This window comes from Homo sapiens, chromosome 22, assembly GCF_000001405.40.
Source record: "Homo sapiens chromosome 22, GRCh38.p14 Primary Assembly".
In the NCBI taxonomy this organism is placed as follows: Eukaryota; Metazoa; Chordata; class Mammalia; order Primates; family Hominidae; genus Homo; species Homo sapiens.
The window spans coordinates 23,736,868-23,755,022 of record NC_000022.11 but is presented as its reverse complement, the minus strand read 5'-3'; the positions used below and the strand labels follow the sequence as shown (position 1 = coordinate 23,755,022).

The 18,155-nt window shown below is 51.2% G+C and overlaps 2 protein-coding genes across 6 annotated transcripts, besides 10 other annotated features; both read left to right on the top strand.

The window, feature by feature from the left end:
- Nucleotides 175-675: an enhancer, noted in NCBI's record as "H3K4me1 hESC enhancer chr22:24096535-24097035 (GRCh37/hg19 assembly coordinates)". NCBI's record gives its function as "activates a minimal SCP1, AML or CMV promoter by ChIP-STARR-seq in naive H9 embryonic stem cells {active_cell/tissue: H9 hESC(naive)}" and the evidence as "EXISTENCE:reporter gene assay evidence [ECO:0000049][PMID:30033119]".
- Nucleotides 506-555: a silencer, noted in NCBI's record as "silent region_13542". NCBI's record gives its function as "represses an Ori minimal core promoter by ATAC-STARR-seq in GM12878 lymphoblastoid cells {active_cell/tissue: GM12878}" and the evidence as "EXISTENCE:reporter gene assay evidence [ECO:0000049][PMID:35858748]".
- On the top strand, nt 598-2,280 carry VPREB3 (V-set pre-B cell surrogate light chain 3). The gene is made up of 2 exons (NM_013378.3): nt 598-708; nt 1,825-2,280. The coding sequence occupies exons 1-2, from the start codon at nt 660-662 to the stop codon at nt 2,145-2,147; spliced, it is 372 nt and encodes a 123-aa protein (NP_037510.1). The 5' UTR covers nt 598-659; the 3' UTR covers nt 2,148-2,280.
- Nucleotides 1,452-2,125: an enhancer, noted in NCBI's record as "H3K4me1 hESC enhancer chr22:24095085-24095758 (GRCh37/hg19 assembly coordinates)". NCBI's record gives its function as "activates a minimal SCP1, AML or CMV promoter by ChIP-STARR-seq in primed H9 embryonic stem cells {active_cell/tissue: H9 hESC(primed)}" and the evidence as "EXISTENCE:reporter gene assay evidence [ECO:0000049][PMID:30033119]".
- Nucleotides 2,636-2,695: an enhancer, noted in NCBI's record as "active region_18759". NCBI's record gives its function as "activates an Ori minimal core promoter by ATAC-STARR-seq in GM12878 lymphoblastoid cells {active_cell/tissue: GM12878}" and the evidence as "EXISTENCE:reporter gene assay evidence [ECO:0000049][PMID:35858748]".
- Nucleotides 3,478-4,153: an enhancer, noted in NCBI's record as "H3K27ac hESC enhancer chr22:24093057-24093732 (GRCh37/hg19 assembly coordinates)". NCBI's record gives its function as "activates a minimal SCP1, AML or CMV promoter by ChIP-STARR-seq in naive H9 embryonic stem cells {active_cell/tissue: H9 hESC(naive)}" and the evidence as "EXISTENCE:reporter gene assay evidence [ECO:0000049][PMID:30033119]".
- Nucleotides 3,478-4,195: a biological region, named in NCBI's record as "H3K27ac hESC enhancer GRCh37_chr22:24093057-24093732".
- Nucleotides 3,536-3,595: an enhancer, noted in NCBI's record as "active region_18758". NCBI's record gives its function as "activates an Ori minimal core promoter by ATAC-STARR-seq in GM12878 lymphoblastoid cells {active_cell/tissue: GM12878}" and the evidence as "EXISTENCE:reporter gene assay evidence [ECO:0000049][PMID:35858748]".
- Nucleotides 3,746-4,195: a silencer, noted in NCBI's record as "silent region_13541". NCBI's record gives its function as "represses an Ori minimal core promoter by ATAC-STARR-seq in GM12878 lymphoblastoid cells {active_cell/tissue: GM12878}" and the evidence as "EXISTENCE:reporter gene assay evidence [ECO:0000049][PMID:35858748]".
- ZNF70 (zinc finger protein 70) lies at nt 3,911-16,341 on the top strand. Of its 5 annotated transcripts, none has more exons than XM_047441490.1 (2): nt 3,911-3,975; nt 9,804-16,341. In XM_047441490.1, exon 2 carries the CDS (start codon nt 9,883-9,885, stop codon nt 11,221-11,223), a length of 1,341 nt encoding a protein of 446 aa, XP_047297446.1. In that variant the 5' UTR covers nt 3,911-3,975; nt 9,804-9,882; the 3' UTR covers nt 11,224-16,341. The 5 variants fall into 5 exon arrangements, with proteins under 5 accessions (XP_047297446.1, XP_024308039.1, XP_024308038.1 ...); XM_024452271.2 differs by having other exon boundaries at nt 3,911-4,018; XM_024452270.2 differs by having other exon boundaries at nt 3,911-4,042.
- Nucleotides 8,693-9,193: an enhancer, noted in NCBI's record as "H3K27ac hESC enhancer chr22:24088017-24088517 (GRCh37/hg19 assembly coordinates)". NCBI's record gives its function as "activates a minimal SCP1, AML or CMV promoter by ChIP-STARR-seq in primed H9 embryonic stem cells {active_cell/tissue: H9 hESC(primed)}" and the evidence as "EXISTENCE:reporter gene assay evidence [ECO:0000049][PMID:30033119]".
- Nucleotides 9,194-9,694: an enhancer, noted in NCBI's record as "H3K27ac hESC enhancer chr22:24087516-24088016 (GRCh37/hg19 assembly coordinates)". NCBI's record gives its function as "activates a minimal SCP1, AML or CMV promoter by ChIP-STARR-seq in primed H9 embryonic stem cells {active_cell/tissue: H9 hESC(primed)}" and the evidence as "EXISTENCE:reporter gene assay evidence [ECO:0000049][PMID:30033119]".
- Nucleotides 16,342-18,155: the final 1,814 nt, after the last annotated feature.

Sequence of the window (18,155 nt, the reverse complement as noted above, 5' to 3'; positions counted from 1 at the left end):
TGCCTCAGCCTCTCCAGTAGTTGGGACTACAGGTGTGCACCACCACGCCCAGCTAATTTTTGTATTTTTAGTACAAAAAATATGGAGTTTCACCATGTTGGCCAAGCTGGTCTCAAACTCCTGACCTCAAGTGATCCACCTGCCTCCGTCTCCCAAAGTGCTGGGATTATAGGCGTAAGCCACCGCCCTCAGCCGAGATTTTCTAAATCCTGATCTGGGTGGAGGTTGCAGGGGTCTGTGTGTGCGTGTGTATGTGTGTGTGTGTGTGTGCGCGCGTGTGCGTGTGCGCGCACATGCATGCATGCATGCTTGTGGGCATACATACATATACATAAAATCATCAAGCTATGCACTTAAGATTTATGCACTTTACTGTATGCTAGTTGTACCTCAATAAAAAAGTAGATTTCCACCTGCTATAACTGCACATGAGGACTTCTGGGCTCCTATTCTTGGAAGGCCTTGTGGTGCCAGGACCCTGACATTTGGGAAGAAAAGGCTTGGCCATTGGGCCCCAGTCACCGCCCCTCCTTCCTCAGTCAATAGGCTGATTTGCATGCTCTGTTGTGGTCCAGTGGCCTTCCCAGCCCTGTGCCCCAAAGCACCTGGAGCATATAGCCTTGCAGAACTTCTACTTGCCTGCCTCCCTGCCTCTGGCCATGGCCTGCCGGTGCCTCAGCTTCCTTCTGATGGGGACCTTCCTGTCAGGTGAATCTTTCCTGGGCCTCAGTCACCTGGGTGTGGGGTGGGGAACAGTACTGGCCCCAGAAGGCCCCTGCAAGGAGGCAAATCGATGGGGACAGTAGGGCAGGTCCTGGGAGGGGTATTTTTTTTTTTTTTGAGACGGAGTTTTGCTCTTGTTGCCCAGGCTGGAGTGCAACGGTGCAATCTCGGCTCACTGCACCTCTGCCTCCCAGGTTCAAGCGATTCTTCTGCCTCAGCGTCCTGAGTAGCTGGGATTACAGGCATGCGCCACCACGCCTGGCTAATTTTGTATTTTTAGTAGAGACAAGGTTTCTTCATGTTGGTCAGGCTGGTCTCAAACTCCTGACCTCAGGTGATCCGCCCACCTCAGCTTCCCAAAGTGCTAGGATTACAGGCTTGAGCCACTGCACCTGGCTGGGAGGCGTATTCAGGTAGAGGGGTGACCTGGCTTCAGACAGCTCTGCCCTTGACCTGGGGCAAATCACTTCCCTGTGTGGGCCTTGGTTTTCTCATTCGTGAATGACCAGATCACTAGAGCCCTGGACTCTGACTTTGGGTCTCCTTCTTAGTTTTTCACAGGGGAAGCTATTGTGGGTTGGTCCCTACCCCACAGGGCCTGAGGCAATCTAACCTCCCTGAGAGGGTCCCTGCAGCCAGTTGCCTGAGGCTGAGTTGATGTGTGGGACAGCCCAGGAGGTTCCTGGGGGTGGTTAGTCTGTATTCAGGGTTTGGAAGAGCTGAAGTGAAGTGGGCGGGGAAGTGGGGGAGAGGGGTGCAGTTCTGCAGAGAAACGTGGGTGGGTAGCAGAGGGACCTAGAGGCTGCTAGTCCAACCTTCTGAGCTCTGGGCCTTTAACTGAACACAGATCCTTGAGGATATGGCACTAATGGAGATTTGGGGGCTAACTCCAAACCCCTCACTCACAAAGGGAGATGGAGGTCCAGATAGGGCACCCTAAGTCACACAGAACCAGGCCTCCTGCACCCCGTTCATTGCTAATCCCATAGCACTGGGCTATGAGCCCTTTGGGACTGGGAGTCTCCATGGAGTCCAACCAAGCCTTCACAGGGCAGGGGTGGGAGGGAAGGGGCTCAGGCTGAGTGGGTTTGTGTCTCGCAGTTTCCCAGACAGTCCTGGCCCAGCTGGATGCACTGCTGGTCTTCCCAGGCCAAGTGGCTCAACTCTCCTGCACGCTCAGCCCCCAGCACGTCACCATCAGGGACTACGGTGTGTCCTGGTACCAGCAGCGGGCAGGCAGTGCCCCTCGATATCTCCTCTACTACCGCTCGGAGGAGGATCACCACCGGCCTGCTGACATCCCCGATCGATTCTCGGCAGCCAAGGATGAGGCCCACAATGCCTGTGTCCTCACCATTAGTCCCGTGCAGCCTGAAGACGACGCGGATTACTACTGCTCTGTTGGCTACGGCTTTAGTCCCTAGGGGTGGGGTGTGAGATGGGTGCCTCCCCTCTGCCTCCCATTTCTGCCCCTGACCTTGGGTCCCTTTTAAACTTTCTCTGAGCCTTGCTTCCCCTCTGTAAAATGGGTTAATAATATTCAACATGTCAACAACAGCTATTGTGAGGGTCATAAGATCCTGGCTGAGAAAAATGACTGTGGTGGGTCTGGGAGTCGAAGACCCACTCCTGGGGTGGGGAGCAGTGTGCGGGGGAATGGGGATTCTGGGGACTGTTGTCAAAGAGGAAGCACCTGAGACTATTGGGGCATGGCCCAGACTCCCCCACCATGGCCCCCTGGGGGCTCAAACTGGTAGCCTGACCTTCCTGTGACCTGAGGAGCCGGAGGGAGAAAAAGGAACCAGCCCTTGCCGCCCCCAACTCTGCATGGCTGGTTATGGTCCAAGGGTTATGGCTCTAGGGTGGCTGGTCCCCATGGAGCTCAGGCTGTTGGCTTGGGGAGGGGCAGCCACTGCCTACCCCTTGGAGTCTGTGCCCAAGGCCCGACAGAGCATTAATGGGGCAGGAAGGCAGGTGTGTGTGGGTAGCATTGGAGGCACTCGAGCGCCAAGGCTGAGGGTGCTGAAGGCAGGTGGGCGGCTGGGGCAGAATCCTTTTTCCCAGGGACAGTGTGTTCTCCTGATGTCCTGTGATTGGGCCAAGGTCTGCGGAGGGAAGCTCTCCCACAAGCTGGGCAGCTGCACCTGAGGGGGGGGTGTCATGGGCAGAACACTGGGTGGAGGGGCCAGTCTTGCCATCAGCAGCAAGGAGGGGGCGGAGATTCCTTTTCTTTTTTTTTTTTTTGTTTTTTGAGATGGAGTCTCGCTCTGTCGCCCAGGCTGGAGTGCAATGGCACTATCTTGGCTCACTGCAACCTCCGCCTCTCAGGGTCAAACGATTCTCCTGTCTCAGTAGCTGGGATTACAGGCGCTTGTCACCACTCCCGGATAATTTTTAGTAGAAACAGGGTTTCACCATGTTGGTCTGGCTGAGTCTCGAACTCCTGACCTCGTGATCCACCCGCCTCCGCCTCCCAAAATGCTGGGATTAAAGGCGTGAGCCACCGCGCCCGGCCAAGGGGGCGGCCATTTCAAGAACACATTCCTCTTCCCTCCCGGTGCGCCTGAGAGGAGGCGCTTCATGTCGAAGTCAGCCCTGGGATGCAGAGAGTTGGGGGGCTCAGGGTCCTGGGATGGTCTCGCAGACACTCCTAGTTCTTCGCCTGCCCCTTCTCATCTCTATTTCTGTGGGGGCGGGGAGGGCAGACAGGAACAGGGCTACCCTTGAAGCAGGTTGGGGGAGGGGGATCCTAACAGGACCCCGGTGCCTGTGGACAGTGACAGGGTCGACAGCTCTGGGGCTCCACTCTCCTTTCCCTGAAGACCCCAGCTGCCTCAGTGGCTTCTGGCTTGCACCCAGCACCAGCGCAGATGCCCCGAGTGCCGGCGGCTCGAGGTCGGCCCGCCCGTCCGGACCTGTTTCCTCCTCTGCTCTCCTGCCAACGCCTGCCCATCTCTGTTTCCCCCACGTCCAGCACGCGCTTCGGGGACGGCCAGAGCCACCATGCCGACTGGAGAGACTCTCCTGATTCGGGTCCTTGTGTCCCGGGGCCCGGGCGGCTTCGCGCGGCGACAACCGGCGCGGTGGGACCACCGAGACGCCGGGACCTCCGCGCGGCCTAGAGTGGTCCCGGAAGTGCCCGCGGGCCGGGGGCGGGGCTCTGGGTGCTCGGGCGGCCGCGGGCTCCGCGTCAGCAGCTGCTGTGGAGCCAGGCAGCGTCGGCCGCGTCGGCCGCGGGTTGGAGCAGCTCAGGTGCGGCCCCGCCCCGCCCGCCTGCGGCCCCGCCCCGGCCCAGGTGAGCTGCCCCGCCCCGGCCCAGGTGAGTGGCCCCGCGTCCGCCGGTGTGACCTGAGTCCGCCTGACCACCTGTCCCTCCGGTGGCCCTGGGTGTGCGTGTCCCCAATCGCGGGGAAGCCTGTAGGGGCGCCACGTCGCCGCCTGGGCAGCGTGTGCGGGTCCGTGGCAACTCTTGGGCCCCCAGCCAGGAAACCTTGACTGCACTAAGAGTTTGCAGGGTGCCCAGGCCCTAGGGACTCTCTGGAGGATGGGATGACAGATGCAGGAGGACCCGGAGAAGGCCCCGACAGAGGTGGGAAGCATGGAGTTCCAGATCTTTGCATTTTCGGTCCAAAAACACTTATCATGTTGTGGGAGACAGATAAAGGGTTGCCAACTTTTTTCTGAGTGGAGACTTCAGGGTGTAGGGGCTATATAGTGGGAATGGAAAACCTCTACGGAGGGAAGTTTGAGAACACCAGGACTTAATGGGTGGGCGGAGGAAGAGTTGCAATCTAAAGATATCAAGAAAGAGAACTTGGAAGCCATGAAAATTGGGAAGAAAGCGAGGGTGGGGATGGGGTTGGGGGGTAGCTCAAAGCTTTCATGCACCTAGGTAGGCAATGTGGGCGGGTGAAGGGATATTGTCACATCTTCGTTTTTCAAGAGAAAGCCAGAAACCTACTGAGTTTTAAATATTGGTAACTAAGGAAAATGAACAGGAAAAGCCAAACTCTTCGAGAGCCAAACATAACATAGCAGGATCTTCAGGCTGCCAATTTGCAACCTCTGAAATGAAGGGTTTTGAGAAGGAGGTATTGGAGAGCAGTGCCAGATGGGGTGGGAAGGTGAAGACCGAGAAGAGAGGGATTGGCAATAAGGAGGTCATAGAATGCCAGAGCTGAGGTCCCAGCTGAAATCGGAAACTCGAAATTTGTCGTGGTGCCATACATAGTTGTATGATTTTTCTTGGCAACATTTAACAACTTAGGAGGAACTGGCCGAGAAGACTGGGACTTAGCGGCTAGTTGCAGCCGGACGAGGAGGTGAGGAGCATGGTGCTAGAGCGTGAGAGTTGAAGTGATGCGCATAGTATGGAGAGTCTAAGCTGGATGGAGAAGGGGTGGAGCTAGAAAAGGAGAACTACAGTAAAAATGGCTTGGATTTCATGAGGTCGAAAAGCACAAATTGAGTGAGAGAGCTGGAAGAGTTGGAGATTATGGGTTGCTGAAGAGGAGGGGGAGGGTGAGAGGAGTTGAAGTGATCAAAGAATTTTTGAAAATACTTTAGGGCTGGGCGAGGGGGCTCACGCCTATAATACCAGCACTTTCGGAGGCCAAAATGGGTGGATCGCATGAGCTCAGAAATTCGAGACCAGTCTGCACAACATGGCGAAAACCCATCTCTACAAAAAATACAAAAATTAGCCAGGTGTGGCACGTGCCTGTAGAGCCTGTATTCCCAGCTACTTTTTTTTTTTTTTTTTTTTTTTTTTTGAGACGGAGTCTCGTCCTGTCGCCCAGCCTGGAGTGCAGTGGCGCGATCTCGGCTCACTGCAAGCTCCGCCTCCTGGGTTCACGCCATTCTCCTGCCTCAGCCTCCCAAGTAGCTGGGACTACAGGCACCTGCCACCACGGCCGGCTTTTTTTTTTTTTTTTTTTTTTTTTTTTTTTTTGAGATGGAGTCTCGCTCTGTTACCCAGGCTAGAGTGCAGTGGCGCGATCTCGGCTCACTGCAACCTCCGCCCCCCAGGTTCAAGCGATTCTCCTGCCTCAGCCTCCCGGAGTAGCTGGGATTACAGACGCGCTGTAATTTTTGTAATTTTAGTAGAGACGGGGTTTCACCATCTTGGCCAGGCTGGTCTTGAACTCCTGACCTCATGATCCACCCACCTCGGCCTCCCAAAGTGCTGGGATTAGAGGCGTGAGCCACCGCGTCCGGCCTTTTTTGTATTTTTAATAGAGACAGGGTTTCACCGTGTTAGCCAGGATGGTGTCCTAGCTACTTAAGAGGCTGAGATAGGAGAATCACTTGAACCCAGGAGCCAGAGGTTCCAGTGAGCTGTAATCACACTACTGCACTCCATTCTGGAAAAAGAAAATACTTTAGTTCAGTGCTCTTTTTTTTTTATATCCAGTCGGTCTATTGGCTGAAAAATCATTTAAAAAAATCATTTCTGGGCTGGGCGTGGTGGCTCACACCTGTAATCCCAGCACTTTGGGATGCCAAGGTGGGCGGATCACCTGAGGTCAGGAGTTCGAGACCAGCCTGGCCAACATAGTGAAACCCCATCTCTACTAAAAATACAAAAATTATCCGGGCCTGGTGGCGGGTGCCTGTAATCCCAGCTATTCAGGAGGGTGAGGCAGGAGAATTGCTTGAACCCAGGAGGCAGAGGTTGCAGTGAGCCGAGATTGGGCCATTGCACTCCTGGCTGGGCAACAAGAGTGAGACTCCACCTCAAAAAAAAAAAAAAATCATTTCTGCTGGGCATGGTGGCTCATGCCTGTAATCCAGCACTTTGGGAGGCAGAGGTGGGAGGACTGCTTGAGCCCAGGAGTTCAAGACCAGCCTGGGCAACATAATATTATCTCATCTCTACAGAAAAATTAAAAAATTAGCTGGATGTGTTGATATGCCCCTGTAGTCCCAGCTACTTGAGAGGCTGAGGTTGGAGGATCAGTTGAGCCGGGGAGGTCAAGGCTGCAGTGAGCTGTGATTCTACTCCTGCACTCCAGCCTGGGTGACAGAGTGAGACCCTGTCTCAAAAAAAATTTTTTTTTCCAAGTAGAAATGAGTTCTGTTATGACTGTTCTGATTAATTTAGTTTTTTTTTTTTTTCTGAGGCAGTTACTCTCTAGATGCAGTATAAGGATAATTGTGCCTTTGTATAGAGTTGTGAAGATTAAATGAGGTGCCTTGAAGGACCTATTAGTGCCTAGCACAGAGTAGGTGCTCAGTGAATATGAGCTGTTGCTATCATTATTGTGTCACCTGAAGACTTTGCCTTTATCTAGCACAGAAGTTTCTGAATAGGGCTCTTTGGGGCTTCCTCAGGGGCCACATCTGGGAGGGGGAGTGCTGAGTGGGCTGTTCTAGCTTCCTTCCTTGTCCCTGCTAACGCGCCCTCCTTCAACTGGAGCAGCTCTGCTTTTGTCTGTTTTATTTTATTTTTATTTTTATTTATTTATTTATTTTTTGAGACGGAGTCTCACTCTGTTGCCCAGGCTGGTGTGCAGTGGCATGATCTCGCAAGCTCTGCCTCCTGAGTTCACGCCATTCTCCTGCCTCAGCCTCCCGAGTAGCTGGGACTACAGGCACCTGCCACCACGCCTGGCTAATTTTTTTGTATTTCTAGTAGAGATGGGGTTTCACCGTGTTAGCCAGGATGGTCTCGATCTCGTGACCTCGTGATCTGCCCACCTCGGCTTCCCAAAGTGCTGGGATTACAGGTGTGAGCCACCGCGCCCGGACTTGTCTGTTTTATTTATTTATGTCTCCTAGACCAGTGATCCCCAACCTTTTTGGCATCAGGGACCAGTTTTGCAGAAGACAATTTTTCCATGAATGGGTGGGGGACATGGGGGATGGTTTTGAGATGAAACTGTTCCACCTCAGATCATCAGGTGTTAGATTCTCATAAAGAGTGCACAACCAAATCCCTCGTATGCACAGTTTACGATAGGGTTCCAGTTCCTATGAGAATCTAATGCCACTGCTCATCTGACAGGAGGCAGAGTTCAGGCTGTAATGCTCGCTCACCTTCCGCTCACCTCCTGCTATGCGGCCTGGTTCCTAACAGGCCACAGACTGGTGCCTGTCCCCCACTCTGGGGGTTGGGGACCCCTGTCCTAGACAGTTGACTTATTTGACTAAAGTGTTCTTTGACCAAAAAAAGTGACAGTTCTAGAAAAACAAATGGCTTTTCCTCCATTTGATAATTTATTCAACAACTGTGTACATTGGGATTGTGCTTTTGTGCTGGGGGCTGGGGATTCTGAAATGAAGGAGCACAGTATTTGCCCTTAGGGAATTTTCAAGCTAACGATGGGGGCCTGAGATGGTCAAGAACCTGAGGGTGCAGAGAAAAAGGGACATTTGGACGAGTCCTGAAGGATGAGCAAGTGGCAGTCTGAGAATGGTCCTTACCTGTTAGGACCAGACAACAGCAGTGCAAATTAGTCATTGAGCTGGAAAATTAGAAGTGTTGGGGGGACCAGCCTGGGCAATACAGTGTGACCTCATCTCTACAAAAAGAAAGAATTAAAAAAATTAGCAGAGTGTGGTGGCATACACTTGCAGTCCCAGGAGGCTGAGGTGGGAGGATCACTTGAGCCTGGGAGGCAGAGGTTGCAGTGAGCCAAGATCACACCACTATACTCCAGCCTGGGCAACGGGCAAGAGCCTATCTCAAATAAAAAAGAAGAGGTGTATGGGGCAGACAGACAGGAGATGGATTGGAAGGGCCAGGTGTGAAGGAGTTGGGCTGTCACAAGATCCTAAGAAGGGAACCACCAGGCCAGGCATGGTGGCTCACGCCTGTAATCCCAGCACTTTGGGAGGCCAAGGCAGGCAGATCACTTGAGATCAGAAGTTTGAGACCAGCCTGGCCAACATGGTGAATCCCGGTCTCTACTAAAAATACAAAAATTAGCCAAGAATGGTGGTGGGCGCTTGTAATCCCAGCTACTCGGGAGGCCAAGGCAGGAGAATCACTTGAAGTTGGAAGGCAGAGGTTGCAGTGATCCAAGATCGTGCCACTGCACTCCAGCCTGGGTGAAAGAGTGAAACTCCATCTCAAAAAAAAAAAAAAAAAAAAAAAGGGAACCACCATAATCAGGCTTATGTTTTGGATATTTGACTCCATTGTTAGTGTAGGGCATGCACCAGAGGGAGAGGAGGAAGCCGGAGGTCAGCAGCTAGTTTGGAGGCCAGCCCTGAAAAGATCCCAGGAGGTAGCTCTGAAGCCTGAGCTGCAGAGTGGCAGTGAGGACTGAGAGACAGAGACGCTGCCCATGCAGCCTCAGGAAGTAGATAAGAGGGGACCGGTCGGGTGAGAATAAGAGCGGTTATGCTGACTCCCAGGTTGGGGCACCTGGCTGGAGGGAGTGCGACTGGAGGGTAGAGGGAAGAGCTCTCTTTCTCTTTCCCAGCAAAACCTGCCCCCAATGTCACCCAGTAGCTGGAGTCTTGCTCCTTTTCTGCAATGGCCCCACTTCCTGGTTGTTGTTGCTGTTGTTGTTGTTGTTGTTTGAGATAGAGTCTCGCTTTGTTGCCCACGTTGGAGTGCAGTGGGCTGATCTCCGCTCACTGCAATCTCTGCCTCCCAGGTTCAAGCGAGTCTCCTGCCTCAGCCTCCCTAGTAGCTGGGATTACAGGCACCCACCACCACACCCAGCTAATTGTTTTGTATTTTTAGTGGAGACCGGGTTTCACCATGTGACCAGGCTGGTTTTGAACTCCTGACCTCAAGTGATCTGCCTGCCTCGGCCTCCCAAAGTGCTAGGATTATAGGTGTGAGCCACCGCACCCAGCCCCCACTTCCTGTTTTAGCTCACCTTTCTGAACACCTTCAGCCCGTTGAGTCTAGACACCATGATGTGGCACTTGATTGTGTCTGTCTGTCTGCCTTCAATTGTCTCTGGTAAGCAAAACTTGCCTCTAACTCATTTGGGATCATCTTAAGGGCAAGATTGTGTCTTATGCGTATTTTCTTGTTTCTACCATAGATTCTAGGATATGAAGCAGGCACATATGAGCTGCTTGACTTGCTGACTTGACAGAGTTCCCTGTTTTCTTTTCAGATTGTGAGAACAGTAAGTGTGGCCCAAAGAAGAACATTTTTAAAGAAATACAACCATTGGGGATGATAGCAGATTCACAATGGAGGTTCCCCCAGCAACAAAGTTTGGTGAGACCTTTGCATTTGAGAACAGGTTAGAGTCACAACAAGGGCTTTTCCCAGGGGAGGACCTGGGGGACCCTTTTCTTCAGGAAAGAGGTTTGGAGCAAATGGCTGTGATCTACAAGGAGATCCCTCTTGGTGAGCAGGACGAAGAAAATGATGATTACGAGGGGAATTTCAGTTTGTGCTCAAGCCCTGTTCAGCATCAAAGTATCCCCCCAGGAACCAGACCCCAGGATGATGAGCTCTTCGGACAAACCTTCCTCCAGAAATCCGACCTCAGCATGTGTCAGATAATCCACAGTGAAGAGCCCAGTCCATGCGATTGTGCAGAAACAGACAGAGGGGACTCAGGACCTAACGCACCTCACAGAACCCCACAACCAGCCAAGCCCTATGCGTGTCGAGAGTGTGGGAAGGCCTTCAGCCAGAGCTCGCACCTGCTCCGACACCTGGTGATCCACACTGGGGAGAAGCCCTATGAGTGCTGTGAGTGCGGGAAGGCCTTCAGCCAGAGCTCCCACCTGCTCAGGCACCAGATCATCCACACCGGGGAGAAGCCCTACGAGTGCCGGGAGTGTGGGAAGGCCTTCCGCCAGAGCTCAGCCCTCACGCAACACCAAAAGATCCACACCGGAAAGAGGCCCTACGAGTGCAGGGAATGCGGGAAAGATTTCAGCCGGAGCTCCAGCCTCAGAAAACACGAGAGAATTCATACAGGAGAGAGACCTTATCAGTGTAAGGAATGTGGGAAATCCTTCAACCAGAGCTCAGGCCTGAGCCAGCATCGGAAGATCCACACCCTAAAGAAACCTCACGAGTGCGATCTCTGTGGGAAAGCCTTTTGTCACAGGTCACACCTCATCCGACACCAGCGGATCCACACTGGGAAGAAACCATACAAATGCGATGAGTGCGGGAAGGCCTTCAGCCAGAGCTCCAACCTCATTGAGCACCGCAAGACCCACACTGGCGAGAAGCCCTACAAATGCCAGAAGTGTGGGAAAGCCTTCAGCCAGAGCTCCTCCCTCATTGAGCACCAGCGCATCCACACCGGTGAGAAGCCCTACGAGTGCTGTCAGTGTGGCAAGGCCTTTTGCCACAGCTCTGCGCTGATCCAGCACCAGAGAATCCACACCGGCAAGAAGCCCTACACCTGCGAGTGTGGCAAAGCCTTCCGGCACCGGTCAGCCCTCATTGAGCACTATAAAACCCACACCAGAGAGAAGCCCTACGTGTGCAATCTGTGCGGCAAGTCCTTCCGGGGGAGCTCGCACCTGATTCGCCATCAGAAGATTCATTCTGGGGAGAAGCTATAGAAAGAGGAGCCCACACAAAGCTTGAAAGCCTGTGCCAGATGGAGCCTTTATTCCACGTCGCGTGGTCTCCAAGACCCCACCTACCTCCCTGATGCTGAATGGAAACCTTCCCACCTAAGCGCTCTTGAACATCCCACTAGCAGGAAGGCCCTGTGTGGCCCTGGGCCAAGCACGCCAGCTCTCAGCAGGTTTTCTGCATGGAAGGGAAGGTGGGGTGATAGGGAGGGCAGCCAGAAAAGACAGCTGGCCTTCAGTTTCTCCTTCTTGCATTTGACTCCCAAGCCTACAGGATTTCATTTTGCCCTGTCTTCACATTTCCCAGAATCTAGAAGAATAAATGCCAAGAGGGAGAAAGTTGAATTAAACCCAGGAAAATATCAGAAGAACTCTTTAAAACAGGCTGCAGTCTGGCACTTTTAGAAGACAGAAACCACACTCACAGTCCAAAGCAGTAGAAGAAAAATGAATTCAAAAGTAGATGTGTCAGCAGCAAAGTAGAATTTTCTCACTGCGTTGGGCATTGGTGGGGACAACCAAAACAGGTCTGCAGAGCAAAGGCAGGTCTGGAGGGTGGGTCTTGAGATTGGGGATGAGGGTGGTGAGCCCCTGGGCGTGGCCTCTTAACCCTCTCCTTAGCCCTAGGGCAGTTTCCCTCAGACAGCTCTGTTACAGGAGGATAGAGATTTGATCCTGTTGGCCAGAGGATGTTTGACACCCAGCCGTGACTCAGCCTGGACACCGGACATGACTGCCCTCCAGGAATAACCCCTCCCTGAGACATAGTGTCCCCAAGACCACAGTGTGCCTTGGACATCAGCAGGGCCTGGGTCTGGTCTGTTCTGGCAATGATGCAGCCCTCCTGCCCCAGTGTCAGGGGACCTGGGAAGCTGGGTGGCTTGTTGGAGGAGGCTGTGTTCTAATCAGAAGGTCTGGGTTCAAGTCCTAGTTCCACCCCCTCCTACCTGGGTGAGCTTGAACAAGTCCTGTAACTTCCCCAGGCTCCATTCCCCCATCCAAGAGTTGGGGTAATGGGAACTGGCCACGTGCCTCTAAGGGTTGGTGCCAGGCTGTCATTCAGAACACAGCCACTGTGAAAGTGCTTTGGCAACTGTGAGCAGTCATGGTGACTGAGGACAGAGACCCAGAGTGACCCCTGCCCCACCCCTGTGCATTTCCACGGACTGGAGAGATGTTCCCGTCTGGTTTCTGAGCAGTGGGACCTCTCATTGAACAGGGCTTTCTCTCCCTCCACCCCTTGCAGCCTGGGCTGTGTATGCCTGCGGATGCAGTGTCCCACACAAGGACACTTCCTCTAGGATGCCATCCTGAGCCTCCTGTAGCAGCAGTGTCATTCTGCACTTCCACATTCTGTCTGTCTTCCCCGCCTGCCAACTAGGAGTTCACGTGGGGCTTGTTTAAACAGTACCATTGCTTGTGTCCCACCTGGACCAGTTCAGTCAGCCCCAGTGGTGGCATGTTTTAAAGCTCCCCAGGTGATTATAACTTCCTAGTGTGCAGCCAGGCTGTGGGCCCTGTGCTGGGCTTTTTTTTTTGAGATGGAGTGTTGCCCTGTTGCCAGGCTGGAATGCAGTGGCGTGATCTTGGCTTACTGCAAGCTCTGCCTCCTGGGTTCAAGCGATTCCCCTGCTTCAGCCTCCTGAGTAGCTGGGACTACAGGTGCGTGCCACCATGCCTGGCTAATTTTTTGTATTTTTAGTACAGACGGGGTTTCACCATGTTGGCCAGGATGGTCTCGATCTCTTGACCTCGTGATCTGCCCGCCTTGACCTCCCAAAGTGCCGGGATTACAGGCATGAGCCTCCACACCTGGCCCATGCTGGGTTTTTGTGCATCCCTCGACAGCTTCCAATGTCAGCCTGCTGGCTTTGGCTGAGCAGAGCTTGAAGGCCATTCTGTCTCAGTGCCCTCACTCCCTGCTCCCCGCACCCGGAGCCTCAGGGATGGGCTCAGGCTGATGGTCAGCTGGGCGCTTGGAAAGTGTTTGGCTGGGGCCTTGGGGATCTCTTTAGTCCTGGCTTCCCTTGGGCTCCTCAGAGCTAGTGGGGAAGGAGGCAGTCTAGGCTGTTTTGAAGTTTCCTAAACATTTATGGCTGGGCTAACATGAACTCATCATGGTAACACTGGGTATTTCAGCTGATCAGAAGCTCAGCATGGCCATTATGCCTAGTTTTGATGAATAAACATGGGAAAGCCATAACTGTTACTAAGTGGGTCTTGATAGGCCAGAGATTTCCAAATGACAGATATGATGGGCTGGAGAGGTCATGGTGGGAGTTCCAGCCATGCCTCTGTCCAGCCCCTGTCTTTGCTACGTATGTGAAACATTTAACATTTAACCAGCACTCCATTGTCCACCAGAACCCTCTGTGTAACCAGTTGGACTGACTGGATGGTGCCCTGGGCATTGCCTGCAAGTGGCCTGTCATTTCAGGCCTGTCTCTATCAAGAGTGAAGAGAGAATGCTAGGATGCAGTGGGGACAGCAGGCGGCATCAAGCAGGGGTCCCTGAAAGATCTACCTCCTCTTTACACCTGCCCCTCTTCCCCACCGTTATCATCTGGCAAATGTCTGTTACCTATCTTTGGTTTCTCCCTCCCCATCCTTCCTGCACACCCCAGCCAAATTGATTTTTAAAGCATCATTTTGCACAAGTCACCACTCTCCTTAAAACCAACTTTCAGGAGCTTTCCTGCACGTAAACCCTCGTTTCAGCCAACCTGGTTTACCCACTCTGAGCAAGCCGCATGGAGATCAGGCCGCCCCTGCCCACTCCAGCATCACTCCCAGCTCATAATTCTGTGCTGTTCTTGCATTTTGAAATGTGCACTTTCTCCTCCTCTCCCTCCCTCTCTCTTTCTAATTTTTGTGTAACGTGGAGATGAAGATCCCCCCTCTCTCCCAAGGGTTAACAGATAAACATGGTAAGACCAGGTTCTTTTTTGGAAGTATGACCAGAGCCTCATTCCCTCTGTTCAAATTCTTTCCTTGTTTTATTAGTTTTTTTTTTTTTTTTTTTTTTTTTGAGACAGAGTCTCACTGTCACCCAGGCTGGAGTGCAGTGGTGCGATCTTGGCTTGCTGCAACCTCTGCCTCCCGGGTTCAAGTGATTCTCCTGCCTCAGCCTCCTGAGTAGCTGGGATTACAGGCATGTGCCACCACGCCTGGCTAACTTTTGTATTTTTAGTAGAGATGGGGTTTCACCATGTTGGCCAGGCTGGTCTCGAACTCCTGACCTCCTGATCTGCCTGCCTTGGCCTCCTGAAGTGTTGGGATTACAGGCGTGAGCCATGTGCCCAGCCAGCTTATTAGATTTTTTTTTTTAAACTCTCTCATTCTATTTAGATTCTCAAACAGTGTAAAGTTATAAAAGATCATCCCTGGCAATATTTTAATCAATTATCTTTTAATTTAGTTGTTCTTTGTTTTTGTTGTCCTACCTTTTTTTTTCTTTTTTCTTTTTTCTTTTTTTGAGATGGAGTCTTGCTTTGTCACCCAGGCTGTAGTGCAGTGGGGCGATCTCGGCTTACTGCAAGCTCTACCTCCCAGGTTCAGACCATTCTCCTGCCTCAGCCTCCCAAGTAGCTGGGACTACAGGCACCCGCCACCACGCCCGGCTAATTTTTTGTATTTTTAATAGAGACGGGGTTTCACCGTGTTAGCCAAGATGGTATCTATCTCCTGAGCTCGTGATCCGCCCGCCTCGGCCTCCCAAAGTGCTGGGATTACAGGTGTGAGCCACCGCGCTCGGCATTTTTTTATTTCTTCTTCTCCTTAGAGTGACAGCTTTGTCTGCACTCCGTAAGTTTTGACGTGGTGTTTTTTGTTATAGTATTAAGAATTTCCTTTTGCCCAAATGTTATTATTTAAAAATATTTCTAAGTGGGCCGGGCATGGTGACTCACACCTGTAATCCCAGCACTTTGGAAGGCCGAGGTGGGTGGATCACGAGGTCAGGAGTTTAAGACCAGCCTGGCCAACATGGTGAAAACCCGTCTCTACTAAAAATACAAAAATTAACTGGGCATGGTGGCGGGTGCCTGTAATCCCAGCTACACGGGAGGCTGAGGCAGGAGAATCGCTTGAACCCGGGAGGCGGAGGTTGCAGTGAGCCAAGATTGTGCCACTACCCTTCAGCCTGGGTGACAGGGCAAGACTCCATCTCGGGGAAAACAACAACAACAAAAACAAAAAATAGCCGGGAGCGGTGGCTCAAGCCTGTAATCCCAGCACTTTGGGAGGCCAAGACGGGCAGATCATGAGGTCAGGAGATCGAAACCATCCTGGCTAACACGATGAAACCCTGTCTCTATTAAAAATACAAAAAATTAGCCGTGCGTGGTGGCTACAGGCAGCTGTGCGCCTGTAGTCCCAGCTACTTGGGAGGCTGAGGCAGGAGAATGGTGTGAACCCGGGAGGCAGAGCTTGCAGTGAGCCGAGGTGGTGCCACTGCACTCCAGCCTGGGCAAAAGAGCTAGACTCTGTCTCAAAAAAAATATATATAAAAAAAATTTCTAAGTGATGAATGCTTAGGGTATTGCTGCTTATTTCTTACTGTACTGTGGTGTCAACATTTCTAAGTGTCCATAGGACTTCTTTGGGCCTGAATATATTATCAGTTTTTATAAAAGCATTTGTGTAATCTCAAAATGTGTTTTTATTCTACCAGTTCTATTTGTTAACTCAATTTTTTCATTATTTTATTCAAATCCATATTTTCTCTGACTTTCATTTACTTTAGAGTTCTTAATCTGGGGGTCCATGGCCTGCCTAGGAGTCTTTAGCATGTAGGGGTTTAGGAGTTGCAGACCCCTAGGGATCGAACAAAGCTGGGTATGTGCTTGAAGGAATTTTGCTGGGACAAGGATCTGTAGTATTTACTATATTTTTAAATGCCTCTGTGACACCAAAGCAGTTCAGAACACTCATTTACCTGATCTAATCATAGTTTGATGTTTGTGTGTTATATCTCTATGTATTCCTGTTTCACTTTTAATTTCTGTATGTGTATTGTCGCTATGTTGTGCAGTTTTTCTCAAGTCATTTTTGAGAAATAGGCAGGGTATGAATTATCAATAAATAAGTATCATGTTTGGGGCATATATATTTAATAGTGATATATTGAAAAACTCGGCCAGGCACAGTGGCTCATGCCTGTAATCCTAGCACTTTGGGAGGCCAAGGTGGGCGGATCACTTGAGGTCAGGAGTTTGAAACGAGCTTGGCCATAATAGTGAAACCCCATCTCTACTAAAAATACAAAAAATTAGCTGGGCATGGTGGTTTGTGCCTGTAATCCCAGCTACTTGGGAGGCTGGGGCAGAAGAATCACTTGAACCCGGGAGGTGGAGGTTGCAATGAGCAGAGATTGTGCCACTGCACTCCAGCCTGGGTGACAGAGCAAGACTCCATCTCAAAAAAAAAAAAAAAAAAAGAAAAAGAAAAACTATGCTAAGTACCCTCTTTGCCTCTTTTAATATTTCTAGCTTAAACTTGTCTTTTCCAAATATTATAATTGAAGCCCCCTGCTTTTCTTGAATTTGCCTGGTAGAGTTTAGCTCAGCATTTTGTTTTTTAAATTTGTGTATATATTTTGCTATACATCTACATAAACAACAAATTGTTAGAGTTTGTTTTCTGGTTCTTTCTGTAATTTATTTTTGTACGAGAAGTTCTATCATTAATACTATTGAGCAAGGCATAATTTATTTTCATTTTAATATTTTAATATATATTAACTAATTTAACCTCAAAAAGCCATGCTCACCCCTCACTCCCATCTCTAGGAGTTATTAACCATATGTGGAGTGTCATTTCTGGATAGACTAGAGGTCTGCCATTGGGCCCACCTGTCTCTCTTCTTGTCACATTTGGGTTCAGTGCCAAGATCTGCCCTGAGCCCATTCCTCAAGTTACAGCCTCTGACTTCAGGGTCCTAAGCTATAACATGGGGGAATGATGACACTCACAGCCTTGGGGGCCTCAGTGGTATAAGGAATGCAAACATGCTTAGCAAACTATCAGGTGCAGTTGATTATTACACTATTAGTGTTTTGAAGTATTTCTTTCTTTCTTTTTTTTTTTTTTTGAGATGAAGTCTTGCTCTGTAGCCCAGGCTGGAGTGCAGTGGTGCGATCTCGGCTCACTGCAACCAGGATCAAGCGATTCTCCTGCCTCAGCCTCCAAAGTAGCTGAGATTACAGGCACGCGCCATTGCACCTGGCTAATTTTTTTTTTTTTTTTTTGGGGGACGGAGTCTCACTCTGTTGCCAGGCTAGAGTGCAGTGGCGTGATCTCAGCTCACTGCAACCTCCACCTCCCAGGTTCAAGCGATTCTCTTGCCTCGGCCTCCCAAGTAGCTGGGATAACAGCTGGGATAACAGGCATGCGCCACCATGCCCTGCTAATTTTGTATTTTTAGTAGAGGCATGGTTTCCCCATGTTCGCCAGGCCGGTCTCTATCTCCTGACCTCAGGTGATCCACCAGCCTCAGCCTCCCAAAGTGCTGGGATTACAGACATGAGCCACTGCGCCTGGGCCTCCTATGAGTCTTTAATGCCAAGGATGCTTCCTCAGGATAAAGGCTTATGTCCATTTCAGTGTCGACTGTCAGGGACTCAGCTGCAGACTCTTTTGACTCATCTGCTTTTTATTTGTTTTTAATTTTTTTGCAAGCCTTTATGCTGCTTTCCTGTCTTTCTCCTCTTCCTGAGTTCTCTTCCCCATACCTACAGCGTGGCCTCCGCACATACCAAGCTTGCAAGCTTGCTGTTTGCTGCAAAGAAACCTGGACTGACAATCTCTCTTCTGTCATCTGGGCAGCCAGACTGAGTGTCCCCTTCTACCTGGGTGCCTGTGTGCATGTCCTCTAACCCCTAACCCTTTGCAGCTTCTGTTTTTTTTTTTTTTCTTTT